Consider the following 20,243-nt stretch of genomic DNA (forward strand, 5'->3'; position numbering starts at 1 on the left):
CACAGTTCAGCATGGCTGGGGAAGCCTCAGGAAACTTACAATTATGGTGGAAGTGGAAGCAAACATGTTCTTCTTCACATGCCAGCAGGAAGGAGAATGAGAACTGAGCAAAGTGGGAAGTCCCTTACAAAACCATCAGATCTTGTGAGAACTCATTCACTATCACAAGAACAGTATGAGGGAACATGATCCCATGATTCAATTATTTCCACCTCATCCCACACTTGATATGTGGGGATTATTACAATTCAAGATGAGATTTTGGGTGGGTACACAGCCAACTATATCAGTCAATGACTGTATTCTGAAATGTAAGGAGAACATGAGATTTGGGAGGGGCCAGGGGTGGTATGATATAGTCTGGATATTTGTCAATGGCCAAATCTCATGTTGGATTGTAATCCCTAATGTTGAAGGTGGGGCTGGATAGGAAATAATTGGATCATGGATGGGTGGATTTCTCATGAATGGTTTAGTACCATCTTCTTGGTGCTCTCATTGTGATAGTGAATAAGTTCTCACAAGATCTCATTGTTTAAAAGTGTGTGGTGTCTTCTCTCTCTTTCTCTCTCTGTGTGTGTGTGTGTATCTCTCTCTCTTGCTCCTGCCACATGGGACACCTGCTTCCCCTTTGTCTTCTTCCATGATTTTAAGTGTCCTGAGGCCTTCCTAGAAGCAGATGTCTGTGTTATGCTTCCTGTACAGCCTGTGGAACCATAAGCCAATTAATGCTCTTTTCTTTATAAAATACTGAGTCTCAGGTATTTCTTTATAGCAATGTGAGAACAGCCTAATACACTCAACATCACTAAACTTTATGGAAATGCAAATAAAAACTTCAATGAGATACTTTCTCACACCATTAGAATGACTATTACAAAAAAACAGAAAATAACAAATATTGGCAAAGATATAGAGAAATAGGACAATTTAGCACAGCTGGTGAGAATGTGATATGAGGCACCTGTTGTAGAAAGCAGTATTAAATTTCCTTAAAATTTAAAGATAGAGTTACCATATGACACAGCAATTCCACTTCAAATTATATAACCAAAAGAATTGAAAGTAGAATCCCAAAAAAACAAATGTGCATCCATGTTTACAGCAGCATTATTCACAATAACTAAAACACTGAAGCAATAAAGTGTCCATTGGTGCATGAATGGATAAACAAAATGTGTTATAGGCATATGATGGAATATCATTCAGCCTTTAAAAGGAAATTATTATTTCATTTTATTATTAAATTATTTTCTATTATTATTAAAATATTAATAACATGGATGAACCTTGAGGACATTAATGTTTAGTAACATAAGTAAGCCACAAAAAGGCACATATTGTACAACTCCACTTATGTGAGGTACTTAGAGTAGTCAAAATCATTGAAACAGAAGTAGAGTGGTGGTTCCCAGGAACTAGGGAAAGGAAGAAATGGAGTCATGTGGTTTGGCTGTGTCTCCACCCAAATCTCATCTTGAATTGTAGTTCCCATAATCTCCATATCCCATGGGAGGGACCCAGTAGGAGGTAATTGAATCACAGTGGAGGTCACCCTCATGCTGCTGTTCTCATGACAGTGAGTGAGTTCTCATGAGATCTGGTGGTTTTATAAGGAGATTTCTCCCTTTTGCCTGGCACTTCTTTTTTGCCTTCTACCATGTAAGATGTGCCTTTGCTCCTCCTTCACCTTCAGCCATGATTGTGTGGCCTCCCCAGCCATGTGGAATTGTGAATTCATTAAACCTCTTTTCCTTTATAAATTACCCAGTCTCAGGTATGACTTTATTAGCAGTGTGAGAACAGACTAATACAGTAAATTGGTGCCAGTAGATTGGGGTGCTGCTGTAAAGATACCCAAAAATGTGGAAGCAACTTTGAAACTGGGTAACAAGCAGAGGTTGGGACAGTTTGGAGGTCTCAGGAGAAGGTAGAAAAATGTGGAAAAGTTTGGAACTTCCTAAAGACTTGTTGAATGGCTTTGACCAAAATGCTGATAGTGATATGGACAATAATATCCAGGCTGAGATGGTCTCAGATGGAGATGAGGAACTTGTTGGGAACTGCAGTAAAGGTCACTTTTGGTATGCAAAGAGACTGATGGCATTTTTTCCTTGCTCTAGAGATCTGTGGAACTTTGAGCGTGAGAGAGATGATATAAGGTGTCTGGCAGAAAAAAAAAATTCTAAGCAGCAGGACATTCAAAAGAAAGCAAAAGTTTGAAAAATTTGCAACCTGACAATGCAACAAAAAATAAGAAACCATTTTTCTGGGGAGAAATTCAAGCCTGCTGCAGAAATTTGCATAAAATTTGCGTAAGTAACAAGGAGCCAAATGTTAGTCACCAAGACAATGGGGAAAATGTCTCCAGGGTATGTCAGAGAGCTCCATGGGAGCCCCCTCCATCACAGGCCTAGAGGCCTAGGAGGAAAAATGATTTTGTGGGCTGGGCCCAGGACCCCTCAGCTGTGTGGAGCCTAGGGATTTGGTGGCCTTGCATCCCAGCTGCTACTGTTGTGGCTAAAAGACACCAAGGTACAGCTCAGACCATAGCTTCAGAGGGTGCAAGCCCCAAGCCGTGGCAGCTTCCATGTGGTGTTGAGCCTGTAAGTGCACAGAAGTCAAGAACTGAGGCTTGGAAACTCTGCCTAGATTTCAGAGGATGTGTGGAAACAAGTAAATGTCCAGGCAAAAGTTTGCTAAAGGGTTGGAGACCTCATAGAGAACCTCTGCTAGGACAGTGTGAAAAAGAAATGTGGGGTTGGAGCCCCCACACAGAATCCCCACTGGGGCACTGCCTAGCGGATCTGTGAAAAGAGGCCACTGTCCTCCAGACCCCAGAATGGTAGATCCACCAACAGCTTTTACCAGGTGTCTGGAAAAGTGCAGACACTCAAGACCAGCCCATGAAAGCAGCCAGAAAGGAAGCTGCACCCTGCAAAGCCACAGGGGAGGAGCTGCCCAAAGCTGTGGGAGCCCACCACTTGCATCAGCACACTTTGGATGTGAGACATGAAGTCAAAGGAAATCATTTTGGAACTTTATGGTTTAATGACTGCCCTATTGGATTCTGGACTTGCATGAGGCCTGTAGTCCCTTCATTTTAGCCAATTTCTCCAATTTGGAATGAGTGTATTTACCCCATGCCTGTACCCCCATTGTGTCTAGGAAGTAACTAACTTGCTTTTGATTTTACATGCTCATAGGCAGAAGGGACTTTTCTTGACTCAGATGAGACTTTGGACTTGGACTTTTGAGTTAATGCTGGAATGAGTGAAGACTTTGGGGGACTGTTGGGAAGGCATGATGCTGTTGTGAAATGTGAGGACATAGGATTTTGGAGGGGCCAGTGGTGGAATGATATGATTTGGCTCTGTGTCCCCACCTAATTATCATCTTGAATTGTAGTGTCCATAATCTGCAAGTGTTGTGGGAGGCACATGGGAGGCACGATGTGATGTAATTAAATCATGGGAGAGGTTACCCCATGCTGCTGTTCTTGTGATAGTGAGTTCTCATGAGATCTGATGGTTTTATAAGGGGTTTTTCCTCCTTCTGCTCAGCACTTCTTTGTTGCCTGTTGCCATATAAGACATGCCTTTGCTCCTCCTTCACCTTAAGCCATGATTGTGAGGCCTCCCAAGCCATGGGAAACTGTGAGTTCTTTAAACCTTTTTTTCTTTATAAATTAATCAGTCTTGAGTATGTCTTTATTAGCAGCATGTGAACAGACTAATACATGAAGAGTTATTGTTCAATGGATATAGAGATTCATTTATACAAGATGAAAAGAGTTATGGAAACAAACGATGTTTGAAAGTTACACATTTGACAATGAGTTACTATCCAAAATGTATAGAAAACTCAAACAACTCAATAGCAAATAATAATAATGGTAATTTTTAAATGGGCAGACTTGAATAGACATTTCTCAAAAGAATACATAAAAATGTCCAACAAGTATATGAAAAAAATGCTAATTATCACTAATCTTCAGGAAAATGCAAATCAAAATCACAATAAGATGTTATCTTATTATATTAAAATGGTTGCTATTTAAAAAGTCAGAAATGACAAGTGCTGGCAAGGATACAGAAAACAGGAAACCCTTATACACTGAGGGTGGGAATGTAAATTAGTCTGTACAACCATTAGGGAAAATAGTTGAAAGGTTCCTCAAAAAATCAAAAATAGAACTATCATGTGATACAGCAATCCCACTACTGGGCATATAAACAAAGAAAATGAAATTAGTATGTTGAAGAGATAGCTACACTACCATGTTTATTGTAGACCTGTTCACAATAGCCAAGATATGGAATCAACTAAGTGTCCATCAATGGATAAATGGATAAAGAAAATGTGGCATATATACACAATGGAGTAGTATTCATCCATTAAAAAAAGGAAATCCTGTTATTTGCAGCAATACAGCTGAACCTGGAAGACATTATGTTAACTAAAATGAGCCAGGTACAGAAAGACAAATGCCATATAATCATTTCTGGAATCTAAAAAAATTGATCTCACAGAAGTGGATTGTAGAGTGGCTTCCAGAGGCTGGGGAAGGTGAGCTTGAAGGGAAGATGGGTAGAGTTTGGGCAAAGGATACATAAATACAGTTAGACAGGAGGAATACATTTTAAAGATCTATTGTACAGCAAGGCAACTATAGTAATGACAATTTACTGTATTCTTATATAATGCAATGAGAGAGAATGTTAAGTGTTCTCAGCACAGAAAGGATAACTGTGAGGGAATGCAACTGTTCATTAACTAAAATTACCCATTACACACGTACATATAGTACAAAACATCATGTACAAGACAAATGCCTGCGATCTACCTGTCAAATAAAAAAGTTTTAAAATTTTTTAAATTTAAGCAAAAAGAGGACATAGAAAAAGAACAAAATAAACCCAAGGTAAAATGAAATAAGATGATAAAAACATGAAAATTAATTTAATAAATAAATAAAAATTAAATAAACATACCTTAAAATAATTTAATAAAAATTACAACAAAAATAGGTCTTGAAAAGATTATTGAAATTTAACCTTCGGTAGGTATGATGAAGAGCAAATGGCAAAAGGACCACTTACAATAAAAATAAATACTTCCCAAAAATGACATAATTAATAATACAAATAAAATTTTAAAAATTGTAAGAATAGCATGGGAAGCTTTAAATCAATAAATTTGAAAATGTAGATTAAGGGGTTGTTTGTTTTTTTCTTGTAAATTTGTTGGAGTTCACTGTAGATTCTGGACATTAGCCCTTTGTCAGATGAGTAGATTGCAAAAATTTTCTCCCATTCTGTAGGTTGCCTGTTCACTCTGATGGTAGTTCCTTTTGCTGTGCAGAAGCACTTTAGTTTAATTAGATCCCATTTGTCAATTTTGGCTTTTGTTGCCATTGCTTTTGGTGTTTTAGACATGAAATCCTTGCCCATGCCTATGTCCTGAATGGTGTTGCTTAGGTTTTCTTCTAGGGTTTTTATGGTTTCAGGTCTAACATTTAAGTCTTTAATCCATCTTGAATTAATTTTTGTATAAGGTGTAAGGAAAGGATCCAGTTTCAGCTTTCTACATATGGCTAGCCAGTTTTCCCAGCACCATTTATTAAACAGGGAATCCTTTCCCCATTGCTTGTTTTTGTCAAGTTTGTCAAAGATCAGATAGTTGTAGATATGCAGTATTATTTCTGAGGGCTCTGTTCTGTTCCGTTGATCTATATCTCTGTTTTGGTACCAGTACCATGCTGTTTTGGTTACTGTAGCCTTGTAGTATAGTTTGAAGTCAGATAGTGTGATGCCTCCAGCGTTGTTCTTTTGGCTTAGGATTGACTTGGCGATGCGGGCTCTTTTTTGGTTCCATATGAACTTTAAAGTAGTTTTTTCCAATTCTGTGAAGAAAGTCATTGGTAGCTTCATGGGGATGGCATTGAATCTATAAATTACCTTGGGCTGTATGGCCATTTTCATGACATTGATTCTTCCTACCCATGAGCATGGAATGTTCTTCCATTTCTTTGTATCCTCTTCTATTTCATTGAGCAGTGGTTTGTAGTTCTCCTCGAAGAGGTCCTTCACATCCCTTGTAAGTTGGATTCCTAGGTATTTTATTCTCTTTAAAGCAATTGTGAATGGGAGTTCACTCATGATTTGGCTCTCTGTTTGTCTGTTATTGGTGTATAAGAATGCTTGTGATTTTTGTACATTGATTTTGTATCCTGAGACTTTGCTAAAGTTGCCTATCAGCTTAAGGAGATTTTGGGCTGAGATGATGGGGTTTTCTAGATATACAATCATGTCATCAACAAGTAGGCAAATGATATGAACAGACACTTCTCAAAAGAAGACATTTATGCAGCCAAAAGACACATGAAAAAATGCTCATCATCACTGGCCATCAGAGAAATGTAAATCAAAACCACAGTGAGATACCATCTCACACCAGTTAGAATGGCGACCATTAAAAAGTCAGGAAACAACAGGTGCTGGAGAGGATGTGGAGAAATAGGAACACTTTTACACTGTTGGTGGGACTGTAAACTAGTTCAACCATTGTGGAAGTCAGTGTGGTGATTCCTCAGGGATCTAGAACAAGAAATACCATTTGACCCAGCCATCCCATTACTGGGTATATACCCAAAGGATTATAAATCATGCTGCTATAAAGACACATGCACACGTATGTTTATTGTGGCACTATTCACAATAGCAAAGACTTGGAACCAACCCAAATGTCCAACAATGATAGTCTGGATTAAGAAAATGTGGCACATATACACCATGGAATACTATGCAGCCATAAAAAGGATGAGTTCATGTCCTTTGTAGGGACATGGATGAAGCTGGAAACCATCATTCTCAGAAAACTATCACAAGGACAAAAAACCAAACACCGCATGTTCTCACTCATAGGTGGGAATTGAACAATGAGAACACATGGACACAGGAAGGAGAACATCACACACCAGTGCCTGTTGTGGGGTAGGGGGAGGGGGGAGGGATAGTATTAGGAGATATTCCTAATGCTAAATGATGAGTTACTGGGTGCAGCACACCAACATGGCACATGTGTACATATGTAACAAACCTGCACATTGTGCACATGTACCCTAAAACTTAAAGTATAATAAAAAAAAGAAAATATAGATGAAATGTACAATTTATTTAAAATATAAATTTACTACATTGACCTGAGAATAATTAGAAAATGAACACGCCAATAAGCCGAAACAAATAAAAATAATAGTTAAAACATACTTTGCATACCCACTCAAGAGAAAGACATGAGAACAGATGGTTTTTCAGGCTAGTTTATCAAACCTTTCAAGAGAAAGATATGCAAATTATTTCAGGTTTCACAAAAAGAGAATAATCTCCCTAACTCAAATCATAGGGACACTAGCCTCAAAAAACCTTATATTTTACCAGAAATAGGCAGTTAAAAATAAGAAATTAAATCCTATGTCACTTATAGATTGGAGCAAATATTCTAAATAAAATTTTAACTAAAGTAATCTATAGTTAAATTAAGCATGTCCAAATGTGTTTAAGCTAGAAAGACAAGGGTGACTCAACATTTAAAAATATAGTAACATAATTTACTATGTCAAAAATTAAAGAATAAAACACGCGATTATCTCAAAGGATGAAGAAACATAAAAATATTATAGACTCAACACACAATTGATTTTAAACATTTTTACCAAACAGAGACTAGAAAGGGATTTTCTTTACCTGTGAGTAGCTATCAGAAATCTAGGCCAAATATCATACTTCATGACAAAACATTTTAAGCATTCCAACTAAAGTCAGAAAAAGACAAAAATATATATATACATGGGTAAAAAAAGACAGTATAATTTTTTTGCTACTCTTTTCTTCTATTTGATTAAAAATACAACTGCATAAAGAAATAACTACAAAGATGTGTTGATAAATTTGTATAAAGATGTTATATGTATGACAATAATTGTGCAAAGAAAGATGAGAGAATGGAGTCATATTTGAGCAGTTTTTGTACACTAAGCAAATTAATAGGAATAGGAATAAGAAATAGATTATTGTAAGGTAAAAAGTTAATTATAATCCTTGGAGCAACCACTAAGAAAATATTTAAATATTTAAATGTAGTAAAAAAGTTACTTAAAATGTGAAACTAGAAAATATCTTTTTAAATGTAAAAAAGGCAATAATGGAAGACTAGAGGAGCAAAAAGGCATGACATACAGAAAACAAATGATAAAATGGTAAATGTAAATTCTACCTGTTCAGTAACTATATTAAAGAGAAATAAGTTAAATCATCCAATTAATAGGCAGAGATTGACAGAATAGATTTAAAAATATGACTCAACTGTATGTCTGTCTACAAGAGACAGACTCCAGATTCAAAGACATAAACAGGTTATAAGTAAAAGGGTGGAATAAAATATGTCATGTAAACAGTCACTTAAAAAGATCTGTGGCTATGTATTAATATCAGACAAAATAGATTTCAAGGCCAAAATGTTATAAGAGAAAAGAAAGATACTTTATAGTTGTAAAAGTTCAATTCATCAGGAAGACTTAACGCTTGTAAATTAAATATGCACCTAAAAATAGAGCATCAAAATACATGAAACAAAAACTGACAGATTTGGGCTGGGCGGGATGGCTCATGCCTGTAATCCCAGCACTTTGGGAGGCTGAGGCGGGCAGATCACTTGAGGCCAGGAGTTCAAGACCAGCGTGGCCAACATGGCGAAACCCCGTCTCTACCAAAAATACAAAAATTAACTGGGGGTGGTGGCATGCACTTGTAATCCCAGCTACTCAGGAGGCTGAGGCAGGAGAAGCACTTGGACTCAGGAGACGGAGGCTGCAGTGAGCTGAGATTGCACCACTGCACTCCAGCCTAGGTGACAGAGATTCTTCCACAAAAAAAAAAAAAAAAAAAAAAAAAAAAAAAAAAAAAAAAGACAAACGCTTATCTAGACTAACCAAGAAGAAAAGAGAGAAGATGCAAATCACTAAAACAAGGAATTAAAGAGAGTACATCTTAAGTTTCCTGTGTGGTTACTAAAAACAAATAAGTAAATAAATACTAAAAAGTGGACATCATCTTTAAAAAATACAAACTATAGAAATACATTTAAGAAGGAATAGAAAATCTGAATAGTCCTCTAACAAGTAAAGACATTGCATCAGTAATGAATAAGCTTCTCATAAAGATAGGTCAGGCCCAGATGGCTTCACTTGCAAAGTGTAGCAACATTAAATAATTCATATCAATCCTTCATACACTCTTCCAAAAAAAAAGAGAAAATACTTCCCAACCCATCCTATGAGGCCATTATTATTTCTTGATACCAAAACCAATGACATCACAAAAAAAAAACTGTAGATCCATATTTTTTCAGAATATAGATATAAAAACTTCAATAAAATACTAGCAAACTGAACCCAGTAACAATTCCATATTTAGGCATATATCCAAAAGAAATAAAAACATACTTCCACACAGAAACTTGCAGACAAATGTTCATAGCACCATTATATTTGTAATAGCCAAAAAATGTAAACAACACAATTTTCTGACAACTGATTAATGGATAAGCAAATGTGACATATGAAAAATTATTCTGCAATAAAAAGGAATGAAATATTGATTCATGCTGCAACATGGATGAACCTTGAAAATATTATGCTAAGTGAAATAAATTAGTCACAAAGAACCATGTGTGTTATGATTCCATTTATATGAAATGTCCAGACAGGCAAATCTACAGAAACAGAAAATAGTTTAGTGTTTGTCAATGGCTGAAGGCAGGAGAGAAATGGAGGATGGCTGCTAATGGATACAGGGTGTTTTGGAGGTGGTGAAAATGTTCCGAAATTAGATAGTAGTAATAGTTATAGAACTTTGTGAATGTACTAAAAACCACTAAATTTTGCACTTTAAAAAGTTAAATGTTATGTTAGGTGAATTACAACTCAATAAGGCTATTATTTTAAAATATCCCATTTAAATAACAACAGAACACCTGAGCATCTTATGAAAACATAACAAAAATACACAATATCATTATGTAAAATATTATGTAACTTTAATGAAGGAGATAAATGAAGAGACATATCCATTGATGGCTTCTCTTTAAAGTAGACAAAGATGTCAACTCTTTCTGAATCAATCTACAAATTCAGTGCAACCCTAAAAAATAAACCATGTGAGATGTTGCATGAATACTAACTCTAAAATTAGTTCAGAAGTGTAAACTCATTCCTTTAACAAGTATTTACTGAGTACTTATACTATGTCAAGCATTATTAAAGTTGTTAAGAGTATAATAATTGAAATAATAAGCTTTCATGGAACTTATATTTAGTAATGCACTAAAATAGACAAGACTTTTAGAAAAAAATTACAATGAGTTTCTTGATCTAGCAGATATCAAGATATATATAATCAATCAATATTCATTAAAGAAGCATAAAACTGGCACAAAAATAGCCAAAATAGATTTATACAACAGAATGTAACTCAAAAACAGATGTGTACACATACACTAATTTGGCATATGAGAAAGAGAAAAGGAATATGATTAAATAGACACTGCTTTGATAAGTGCGAACATGAATCTCTCTTTGAATAGATTTTTTTAAATGAACTTTTTGGCTCTGAACTCCAGTGTGCTTAGAACATGCAACTATAAAAAAAAAAAATCCATCCAGTTGTTTATCTCCCTGCTCGACATCAGCAGTCCGAAGAAAGGGTCTCAACTGATTATCAGCTGATGCTATGAAGCAAAACGTAGACTCTAGTTTGCTGGTTGGGGTCAAGGAACAAGAGAAAATCAGCAGGAAAACAAGTTTTGGAAAGCCCAGCTCTCACTCATATACTGAGCACTAATGGGTAAGAAATCCCTCTTAGAATCTCCTGACCCAAATCCCATTTCTTCCCCATCTTCCACTCAGGCATTCTTCTTTCTGATGCTTCTTTTAACAGGCCAAGAAATGCTCAAAGACAATAGAGGTCTGTGACCTTCTTATTAGTTTTGTTTGCTCACAACTCCCAAGAAGTGATGCTTCCTCATCCCCACTTCAAGTTTTTTGCATTTTGTTTTTCTTTTCTTTTTTTTTATTCTAAAACTGAGTGTGGTCAGTGTAAAGAGTGGGAGCATTAGTAAATACAGCTCATAGCAAGCAATACACTTAAACACTAGTCTAAGTGTGCTCAAAGAGTAGTGGGAAGATCTCTTCCAGGGGGTCTATGAGATCAAACTGTTTTCATGATAATACTGATATTATTTACCTTTTTCATTCATTCTCTCATGAGACAGGAGTTTTCCAGAGGCTACATAATATGTGATATGGCAACAGATTGGATATAGAAGCGCACATAATAATCCAGCTGTCTTCTATTAAACCAGACATTAAAGAGAATTGCAAAAATGTAAAGTAGTGCCACTCTTCTAAATATTTTGTTGTTTTGGTTATTTTTCATAAAAATGTTATTTATGTTAACACATAATAGGTTCATTGTTATTTTCAAATAAATTAACAGTTTTAAAATTATCCATTTTAATTTCTACTACAGTAAAATAACATGGACAAAAGTTCATAGGGTCCCCAATAATTTTTAAGAGTTGAAAGAGTTCCCATGATCAAAATGTTGGTAGCCTTGAAGGTCTCCAACCTACTAAGAGCCAGCCGTGGCAGAGTAGCACAAACAGGTAATAAAGCCCTCAATAGACATCGCTTGGAAAACTGAGGGAATAAAATGATTAATATACTAGATTGTGGAGAATAATAGTTTAAATTAGATAATGTGTATAAAATTTCTAGCAAAGCTCTTAATGCATAGACAATAATTAATGCATAAGTGCTTTCTTCTCTGACTTTGGAATAAGAACCACCAGGCTCAGGGAGAGAGGTGGAAAAAGATGGCAGAATAGGAAGCTGCACCAATCATCCCCATAGCAAGGACAGCAAGTTAACAACTACCTTCACAGGAAAACAACACCAAAAATAAGGTGAGCACTCATAACACCTGGTTTCAACTTCATATTGCTGAAAAAAGCACTGAAGAGATAGAAAAACAGCCCTGAATCACGTATGCCACCCCTCCCCAACCCTCGCAAGCATCTCTACGTGCTGGAGGAAGAACACAATTGTGAGGCATTGGACTCAGTGCTGTTCTGTTAGAGCAGAAGGGAAAACCAACAAACTCAGCTGACACCCATACACAGAGGGAGCATTTAAACTAGCCCTAGCCAGTAGGGAATTGCCAGTCCCAGTAGTCCGAACTATGAGTGCCTGCAAACCTCACCACCAAGGGCCAAAGTGCTCTCAGTCACTAAGTAAACTTGAAAGGCAGTCTAGATCATAAGGACTGCAACATTTAGGTGAGTCCCAGGGCTGAACTAGGCCCAGAGATAGTGGACTTGTTGTGAGGGTTGGGCATGGAATAGACTGAGAGACTAGCTAAGGAAGCCAAAGGAGTGCTGGCATCATCCCTCCCCTAACCCAAGGCTGCACAGTTCATGGCTCCAAAAGACACTCCTTTCTTCCACTTAAGGAGAAGGGAGGAAAGAGTGAGGAGGACTTTGTCTCGCTTCTTGGACACCAGCTCAGCCACGGCAGGTTAGGGCACCAGTCAGTCAGGAGGCCCCTGTTTCAGACCCTAGCCCCCAGCCAACATTTCTAGACACACCCTGGTCCAGAAGGGAACCTGTTGCCTTAACGAAAAGGACCCTGTCCTGCCAGCATCCATTGACTGCTAAATAAAGAGCCCTTGGGCCCTGAATAACCAGCAGTGATACCCACGTACTACACTGAGGGCCTTAGAGAGCCTCTGAGACTTGCTGGCTTGAGGTAAAACTCAGCATGTTACTAGCTGTGGTGGCTATGGGGCAAAACTCATTCTGCTTGAGAAAAGCAGAGGGAAAAGTAAAGGGGACTTTTTCTTGCACCTTAGGTAAGAACACTGCCACAAAGGGTAAAGCACCAAGTGGAATCTTGGGGGTCCTTGATTCCAGAACTGGACTTTTGGATGGCATTTCTGGACCTGCCCTGGGCCAGAGGGGAGCCCACTACCCTGAAGGGTGAGTCCCAGGCTAGACAACATTCACCACAAGCTAACTTAAGAGATCTTAGGCCTTAAAGGAATATTGATGGTAGTCTGGCAGTACTCCTCATGGCCATGGGCGGTGGGGGCTATGGGGGTGAGATTCTTCTGCCTTTGGAAAAAGAAAGGAAGAGTGGGAAGAACTATGTCTTGTGGTTTCCGTGCCAGCTCAGCTGCAATATAATAGAATACCAGATAGTCTCCTAAGGTTTTTGACTCTAGTCCCTGACTCCTGGATGGCACTTCTGGACCCACCTGGGGCTTGAGGGACCTTGCCACCCTAAAGCAAAGGACACAGGCCTGGCTGTCTTTGCTGCCTGGTGATTATAGAGCCCCAGGGCCTTGAGTGAACATAGGCAGTAGCCAGGGACTGGCTACAGCAGGCCTTGGGCAAGCCCCAGCACTATCCTGGCTTCAAGTCTGTGCAGTCATAGTGATGGTGGCCACAGGAGTGCTTGTGTCACTACACCCCCAGCTGTAGGTGGCTCAGAAAAGAGAAAGAGACTCTGTATGTTTGGGAGAAAGTAAGGGAAGAGAATAAGAATCTCTGCCTGGTAATACAGAGAATTCTGGTAATCTTACCCAAGACCATCAAGGCAATACCATAGCAACAGTCTGCAAGAACGGCAGCATTATTGGGCTTAGGGTGACCCCTAAAGCAGAAACAGCTTAAATCACAACACCCAAGTCCTTTCAAATATCTGGAAAGCCTTCTCAAGGATGGCTGCAAATAAGCCAAGACAGTGAAGATTACAATACATACATTACTCTTTGATTCCCAGACACTGAAGAATATCTACTAGCATCAACCATCAACATTGTCCAGGAAAACATGACCTTACCAAATTAACTAAATAAGGCACTAGGGACCAATCCTGAAAAAACAGAGATATGTGACCTTTCAGAAAGGGAATTCAAAATAGATGTGTTGAGGAAACTCAAGGAAATTCAAGATAATACAGGGAAGGAATTCAGAATTCAATCAGATATATTTAACAAAGAGATTGAAATAATTTTAAGAAATCAAGCAGAAATTCCAGTGCTGAAAAATGCAATTGGTATACTGAGGAATGCATAAGAGTCCTTCAATAGCAGAATGGATCAAGAAGAAGAGAGAATTAGTGAGCTTGAAGAAAAGCTATTTGAAAATATACTGTCAGAGGAGACAAAAGAAAAAAGAATAAAAAACAATAAAGTATGCCTACAGAATCTAGAAAATAGTCTCAAAAAGGCTATTTTAGAGAATTATTATTGAGAAATGGTAAGAATTACTGGCCTTAAAGAGGAGGTAAAGAAAGAGGTAGGGGTAGAATGTTTATTCAAAAGGATTATAACAGAGAACTTCCCAAACCTAGAGAAAGATATCAATAGCAAGTGCAAGAGGGTCATAGAGCATGAAGCAGATTTAACCCAAAGACTACCTCGAGGCATTTAATAATCAAACTTCCAAAGATCAGTAATAAAGAAAAGATACTAAAAGCAGTCAGAGAAAAAAAACAAATAACATACAATTAAGCTTCACTACATCTGGCAGTGGACTTCTCAGTGGAAACATTACAGGCCAGGAGAGAATAACATGACATATTTTAAATGTTGAAGAAAAAAAAAACTGTTAAGTCTAGAATAGTATATCCAGCAAAAATATCCTTGAAATATGAAGGTAAAATGAAGACTTTTCCAGACAAGCCAAAGCTGAGAGGTTTTATTAATACCAGGTCTGTCCTGTAAGAAATTCTGGCCAGGCGCGATGGCTCATGCCTGTAATCCCAGCACTTTGGGAGGCTGAGGCGGGCAGATCACAAGGTCAGGAGATTGAGACCATCCTGGCTAACACGGTGAAACCCGTCTCTACTAAAAAATACAAAAAATTAGCCGGGCATCGTGGTGGGCACCTGTAGTCCCAGCTACTCAGGAGGCTGAGGCAGGAGAATGGTGTGAACCTGGGAGGTGGAGCTTGCAGTGAGCAGAGATCATGCCACTGCACTCCAGCCTGGGCGATAGAGCGAGATTCTGTCTCAAAAAAAAAAAAAAAAAAAAAAAAGAAAGAAATGCTGAAGGGAGTATTTCAATCAGAAAGAAAATAACATTAATGAGCAATAAATAATCACCTGAAAATAGAAAATTTACTGGTAATAGCAAGTAAACACAAAAACACAGAACATTGTAACACTGTAACTGTTGTGTGTAAGTAAACTAATCTTATACTAAATAGAAGGACTAAATGATGAACCAATAAAAAGTAATAACTACAACAACTTTTCAAGACATAATCAGTACAATAAGATATAAATAGAAACAATGAAAAGTTAAAAAGTGGGAGGACAAAGTTAAGGCAAGTTTTTGTTAGTTTTCTTTTTGCTTGTTTGTTTGTTTATGCAAATAGTGTTAAGTTGTTATCAAGTTAAAATAATGGATTATAAGATAGCATTTGTAAGCCTCATGTAACCTCAAACCAAAAAATATGCAATAGATACACAAAAAATAAAAAAGGAAGAAACTAAATTGTATCAACAGAAAAAATCATCTTTACTAAAGAAAGATAGTAATGAAAGAAAGAAGGAAGAGAAGATCACAAGACAACCTGGAAACAACAAAATGGCAAGAGTAAGTGTGCACATGTACCCTAAAACTTAAAGTATAATAATAATTAAAAAAAAGAGTAAGTTCTTACTTATCAACAATAACATTGAATGCGAATGGACTAAACTCTCCAGTGAAAATACATTGACTGACTGAACGGATGAAAAAACAAGATCCATTGATCTTTGCCTACAAAAAACACTTCACCTATAGACACACATAGAATGAAAATAAAGGGATGAAAAAAGATATTCCATCCCAATGGAAAACTAAAAAGAGCAGGAGTCACTATAGTTATATAAGACAAAATAAATTTCAAGATGAAAACTATAAGAAAAGACAAAGAGTGTCACTATATAATGATAAAGTGGTCACTTCAGCAAGGGGATATAACAATTTTCAATATAAATATTTTATAAAATTTAAATATATATTTATTACATAAAATTTAAATATAAAGTACCCAATATATAAAAGATATATAAAGAAAATACTATTAGAGCTAAAGAAAAACATAGGCCCCAATACAATAAGAGCTGGAGACTTCAGTACCCCACTTGCAGCATTGGACAGATCTTCCAGACAGAAAATCCATAAAGAAACCTCAGACTTATTCTGCACTATAGACCAAATAGACCTAATAGATATTTACAGAACATTTCATACAAGAGCTGCAGAATACACATCCTTTTCCTCAGCACATGGATCATTCTGAAGGATAGACTATATATTAGGTGACAAAACAAGTCTTAAAACATTCAAAAAATTTAAATAATATCAAGCATCTTCTCTGGCCAAAAGGGGATGAAACTAGAAATGAATAATCAGAAATTTTGGAAAATATACAAATACATAAAAGTTAAACAATATGTTCCTGAATGACCAGTGGGTCAATGAAATATTGAAAACTTCTTGAAACAAAGAATAATGGAACCACAACATACCAAAACCTATGGGATATAGCAAAAGCAGTACTAAGAGGGAATTTTTCAGCTATAAGTGCCTGCACCAAAAAAAAAAGAGAAAAAACTTCAAAAAACAATCTAACAATGCATCTTATAGAACTAGAATAGCAAGAGCAAACCAAACCCCAAAGTAGTAGAAGATAAATAATAAAGATTAGAGCAGAAATAAATAAGATTAAAATTTGCAAAACACAAAAGATCAATGTAATAAAAGTTGGGTTTTTGAAAAGTTAAACAAAATTGACAAACCGTTAGCCAGACTAACAAAGAAAAAAATAGAGAAGCTCTAAATAAATAAAATCAGAAATGAAGAAGGTGGCATTGCAACTGATACTGCAGAAATTCAAAGGATGATTAGTGGCTACTATGAGCAAGTATATGCCAATAAATTGGAAAACCTAGAAGAAATGAACAAATACTTAGGTAGATACAACCTACCAAGATTGAACCAAGAAGAAATAAAAAACCTGAGCAGATAAATAACAAGTAATGAGATTGAAGCCATAACAAAAAGTTTCCAGGAAAGAAAACCCAGGACCTGATGGCTTCACTGCTGAATTCTACCAAACATTTAAAAAACTAATACCAATCATACTCAAATTATTCCAAAACATAGAAGAGGAAGGAATACGTCAAACTCATTCTACAAGGCCAGCATTATCCTGATACCAAAACCAGACAAAGACACATCAAAAAAAGAAAACTACAAGCCAATATTTTTTATGAATATTGATGCATAAATCCTCAACAAAATACTAGCAAACAGAATCCAACAATACATTGGAAAGATCATTTATCATGACCAAGTGGGATTTAATCCTGGGATGCAGGAATGGTTCAACATTTGCAAATCAATCAATGTGATACATTACATCAAAAGAATATAGGACAAAACCATATGATCATTTTAACTGATGCTTAAAAAAGCATTTGATAAAATCCAACATCCCTTCATGATAAAACCCCTAAAAATCAGGGGATAGAAGGACCATACCAAAATGAAATACAAGCCATATATGACAGACCTACAGCTAGTACCATACTGAATGATACTAGCTGAATGGGGAAAAACTGAAAGCCTTTCCTGTAAGATCTGCAACACAACAAGAATGCCCACTTTCATCACTGTTATTCAGTATAGTACTAGAAGTCCTAGCTAGAGCAATCAGACAAGAGAAAGAAATAAAGGGCATCCAAATTGGAAAGGAAAAAGCCAAAGTATCCCTCTTTGCAGATGCTATGATCTTATATTTGGGGAAACCTAAAGACTTCACAAGACAACTATTAGAACTAATAAACAAATTCAGTAAACTTGCAGGATAAAAAATGAACACACAAAAATCAGTAGCATTTCTATATGCCAACAGTCAAAGATGTGAAAAACAAATTTTTTAAAAAAAATCCCATTTACAATAGCCACACATAAAATGAATTATCTAGGAATGAACTTAACCAAAGAAGTGAAAGATCTCTATAATGAAAACTATAAAACACTCATGAAAGTAATTGAAGAGGACACCAAAAAAAGGAAAAAGATTCCATGTTTATGGGTGGAAGAATCAATATTGTTAAACTATTTATAGTACCCAAAGCTGTCTACAGATTCAATGCAATCCCTATAAAAATACCAATGATATTCTCCACAGAAATAGAAAAACCAATCATAAAATTTATATGGAATCACAAAAGACTCAGAATAGCCAAAGCTAGCCTAAGCAAAAAGAACAAAACTGGAAGAATCACATTACCTGACTTCAAATTATACCACAGAGCTACAGTAACCAAAACAGCATACTAGTGTCATAAAAACAAACACATAGACGAATTGAACAGAATAGAGAACCCACAAACAAATCCACACACCTACAATGAACTCATTTTAAACAAAGGTACCTAGAACACAAACTAGGGGAAAAGACTCTCTTCAATAAATGGTGCTGGGAAAACTGGGTATACATATGCACAAGGATTAAACTAGACCCCTATCTCTCACCATGCACAAAAATCAAATCAAAATGGATTAAAGACTTAAATCTAGGGCCTCAAACCATGAAACTGCTACAAGAAAACATTGGGGAAAATCTCTAGGACATTATTAACCTGGGCAAAAATTTCTTGAGCAATAACCCACAAACACAGGCAACCAAATCAAAAGTGGACAAATGGGATCACATCAAGTTAAAAAGCTTCTTCATAGTAAAGTATACATTCGACAAAGTGAAGAGACAACCCACAGAATGGAAGACAATATTCTCAAACGATCCACGTGACAAGGGATTAATAAACCAAATGTGTAAGGAGCACAAACAACTCTATATGAAAACAATCTAATAATCTGATCAAAAATAGGCAAAAGATTTGAATAGACATTTCTCAAAAGAAGACATACAAATAGCATGCAGGCATATGAAAATGTGCTCAACGTCATTGATCATCAGAGAAATGCAAATCAAAACTACAGTGAGATATCATCTCACCCCAGTTAAATGGTTTATATCCAAAAGACAAGACAATAGCAAATGCTGGCATGGATGTGGAGAAAAGGGAACACTTGCACACAGCTGGTGTGAATGTAAATTAGCACAACCATTATGGAGAACTTTTTGGAGGTTCCTCAAAAAACTAATAATTAATCTACCATATGATCCAGCAATCCAACTGCTGGATATATACACAAAAGAAAGGAAATCAGTATACTGAAGAGATTGTACTCCTATGTTTGTGGCAGCACTGTTTGCAATAGCTAAGATTTGGAAGCAACCTAAGTGTCCATCGATAGATGAATGGATAAAGAAAATGTGGTACATATACACAATGTAGTAATGTTCAGCCATAAAAAAAGAATGCAATCCAGTCGTTTGCAACAACATGAATGGAACTGGAGATCATTACATTAAATGAAATAAGCCAGGCACAGGAAGACAAACATTGCATGTTCTCACTTACTTGTGGGATCTAAAAATCAAAACAATTGAACTCATGGGCATAGAGAGCAACCAGAGGCTGAAAAGTATAGCTGGCGGCTTGAGGGGGAGGTGGGGATTGTAAATGGGTATCAAAAAATATAGAAAAAATAAATAAGGCCTACTATTTGATAGCACAACAGGATGACTATAGTCAAAAATAACTGTACCTTTTGAAATAACTTGAACAGTCTCTTGAAAAGGCCTGAGTTGGAGAAACTGGAGGTGTTTCAGCCAGCAATAGAATTTAATGTCTTCCACCTTTTAGACAATCCAGGAATGAATATAGACTCCGGGAAAGGAACTAGGCACCTATTGTTTCCAGTATCCTTTTTCACACCCATCATCAGAATTGCAGCATAGGATTCTGCAGGTTGTGCAGTGCGCGACAGTGCCACATTTGTAAATGATACAGGAGTATCATTTACAGCTCAAACATCATAGGTTTGTGATAATTTATTACGAGAGGGCAGTAAAATTATTATGGCAGTTTTCAACAGAAATGTCTAGAGAAGATGCTTTTTTCCCCTAAAATGGGTAGACACGCTTCATAGAACAGTGACAGCCTTGCCTGTACTATCCAATGAAGACCATGATTTTTCTCAAGAGGTGTCGGC

General features: G+C 36.6%; 1 protein-coding gene across 2 annotated transcripts in view; it reads left to right on the forward strand.

The window, feature by feature from the left end:
• Nucleotides 1-13,029: 13,029 nt before the first annotated feature.
• Nucleotides 13,030-20,243, forward strand: part of OR10J1 (olfactory receptor family 10 subfamily J member 1) — a 43,503-nt gene continuing 36,289 nt past the window's right edge. For both annotated transcript variants that reach the window (NM_001363557.2, NM_001363558.2), the window contains exon 1: nucleotides 13,030-13,095. The gene's annotated coding sequence lies outside the window, so the exon portion shown is untranslated. The remainder of the gene's footprint in view (nucleotides 13,096-20,243) is intronic.

The sequence above is a fragment of the Homo sapiens genome, chromosome 1 (assembly GCF_000001405.40).
Source record: "Homo sapiens chromosome 1, GRCh38.p14 Primary Assembly".
In the NCBI taxonomy this organism is placed as follows: domain Eukaryota; kingdom Metazoa; phylum Chordata; class Mammalia; order Primates; family Hominidae; genus Homo; species Homo sapiens.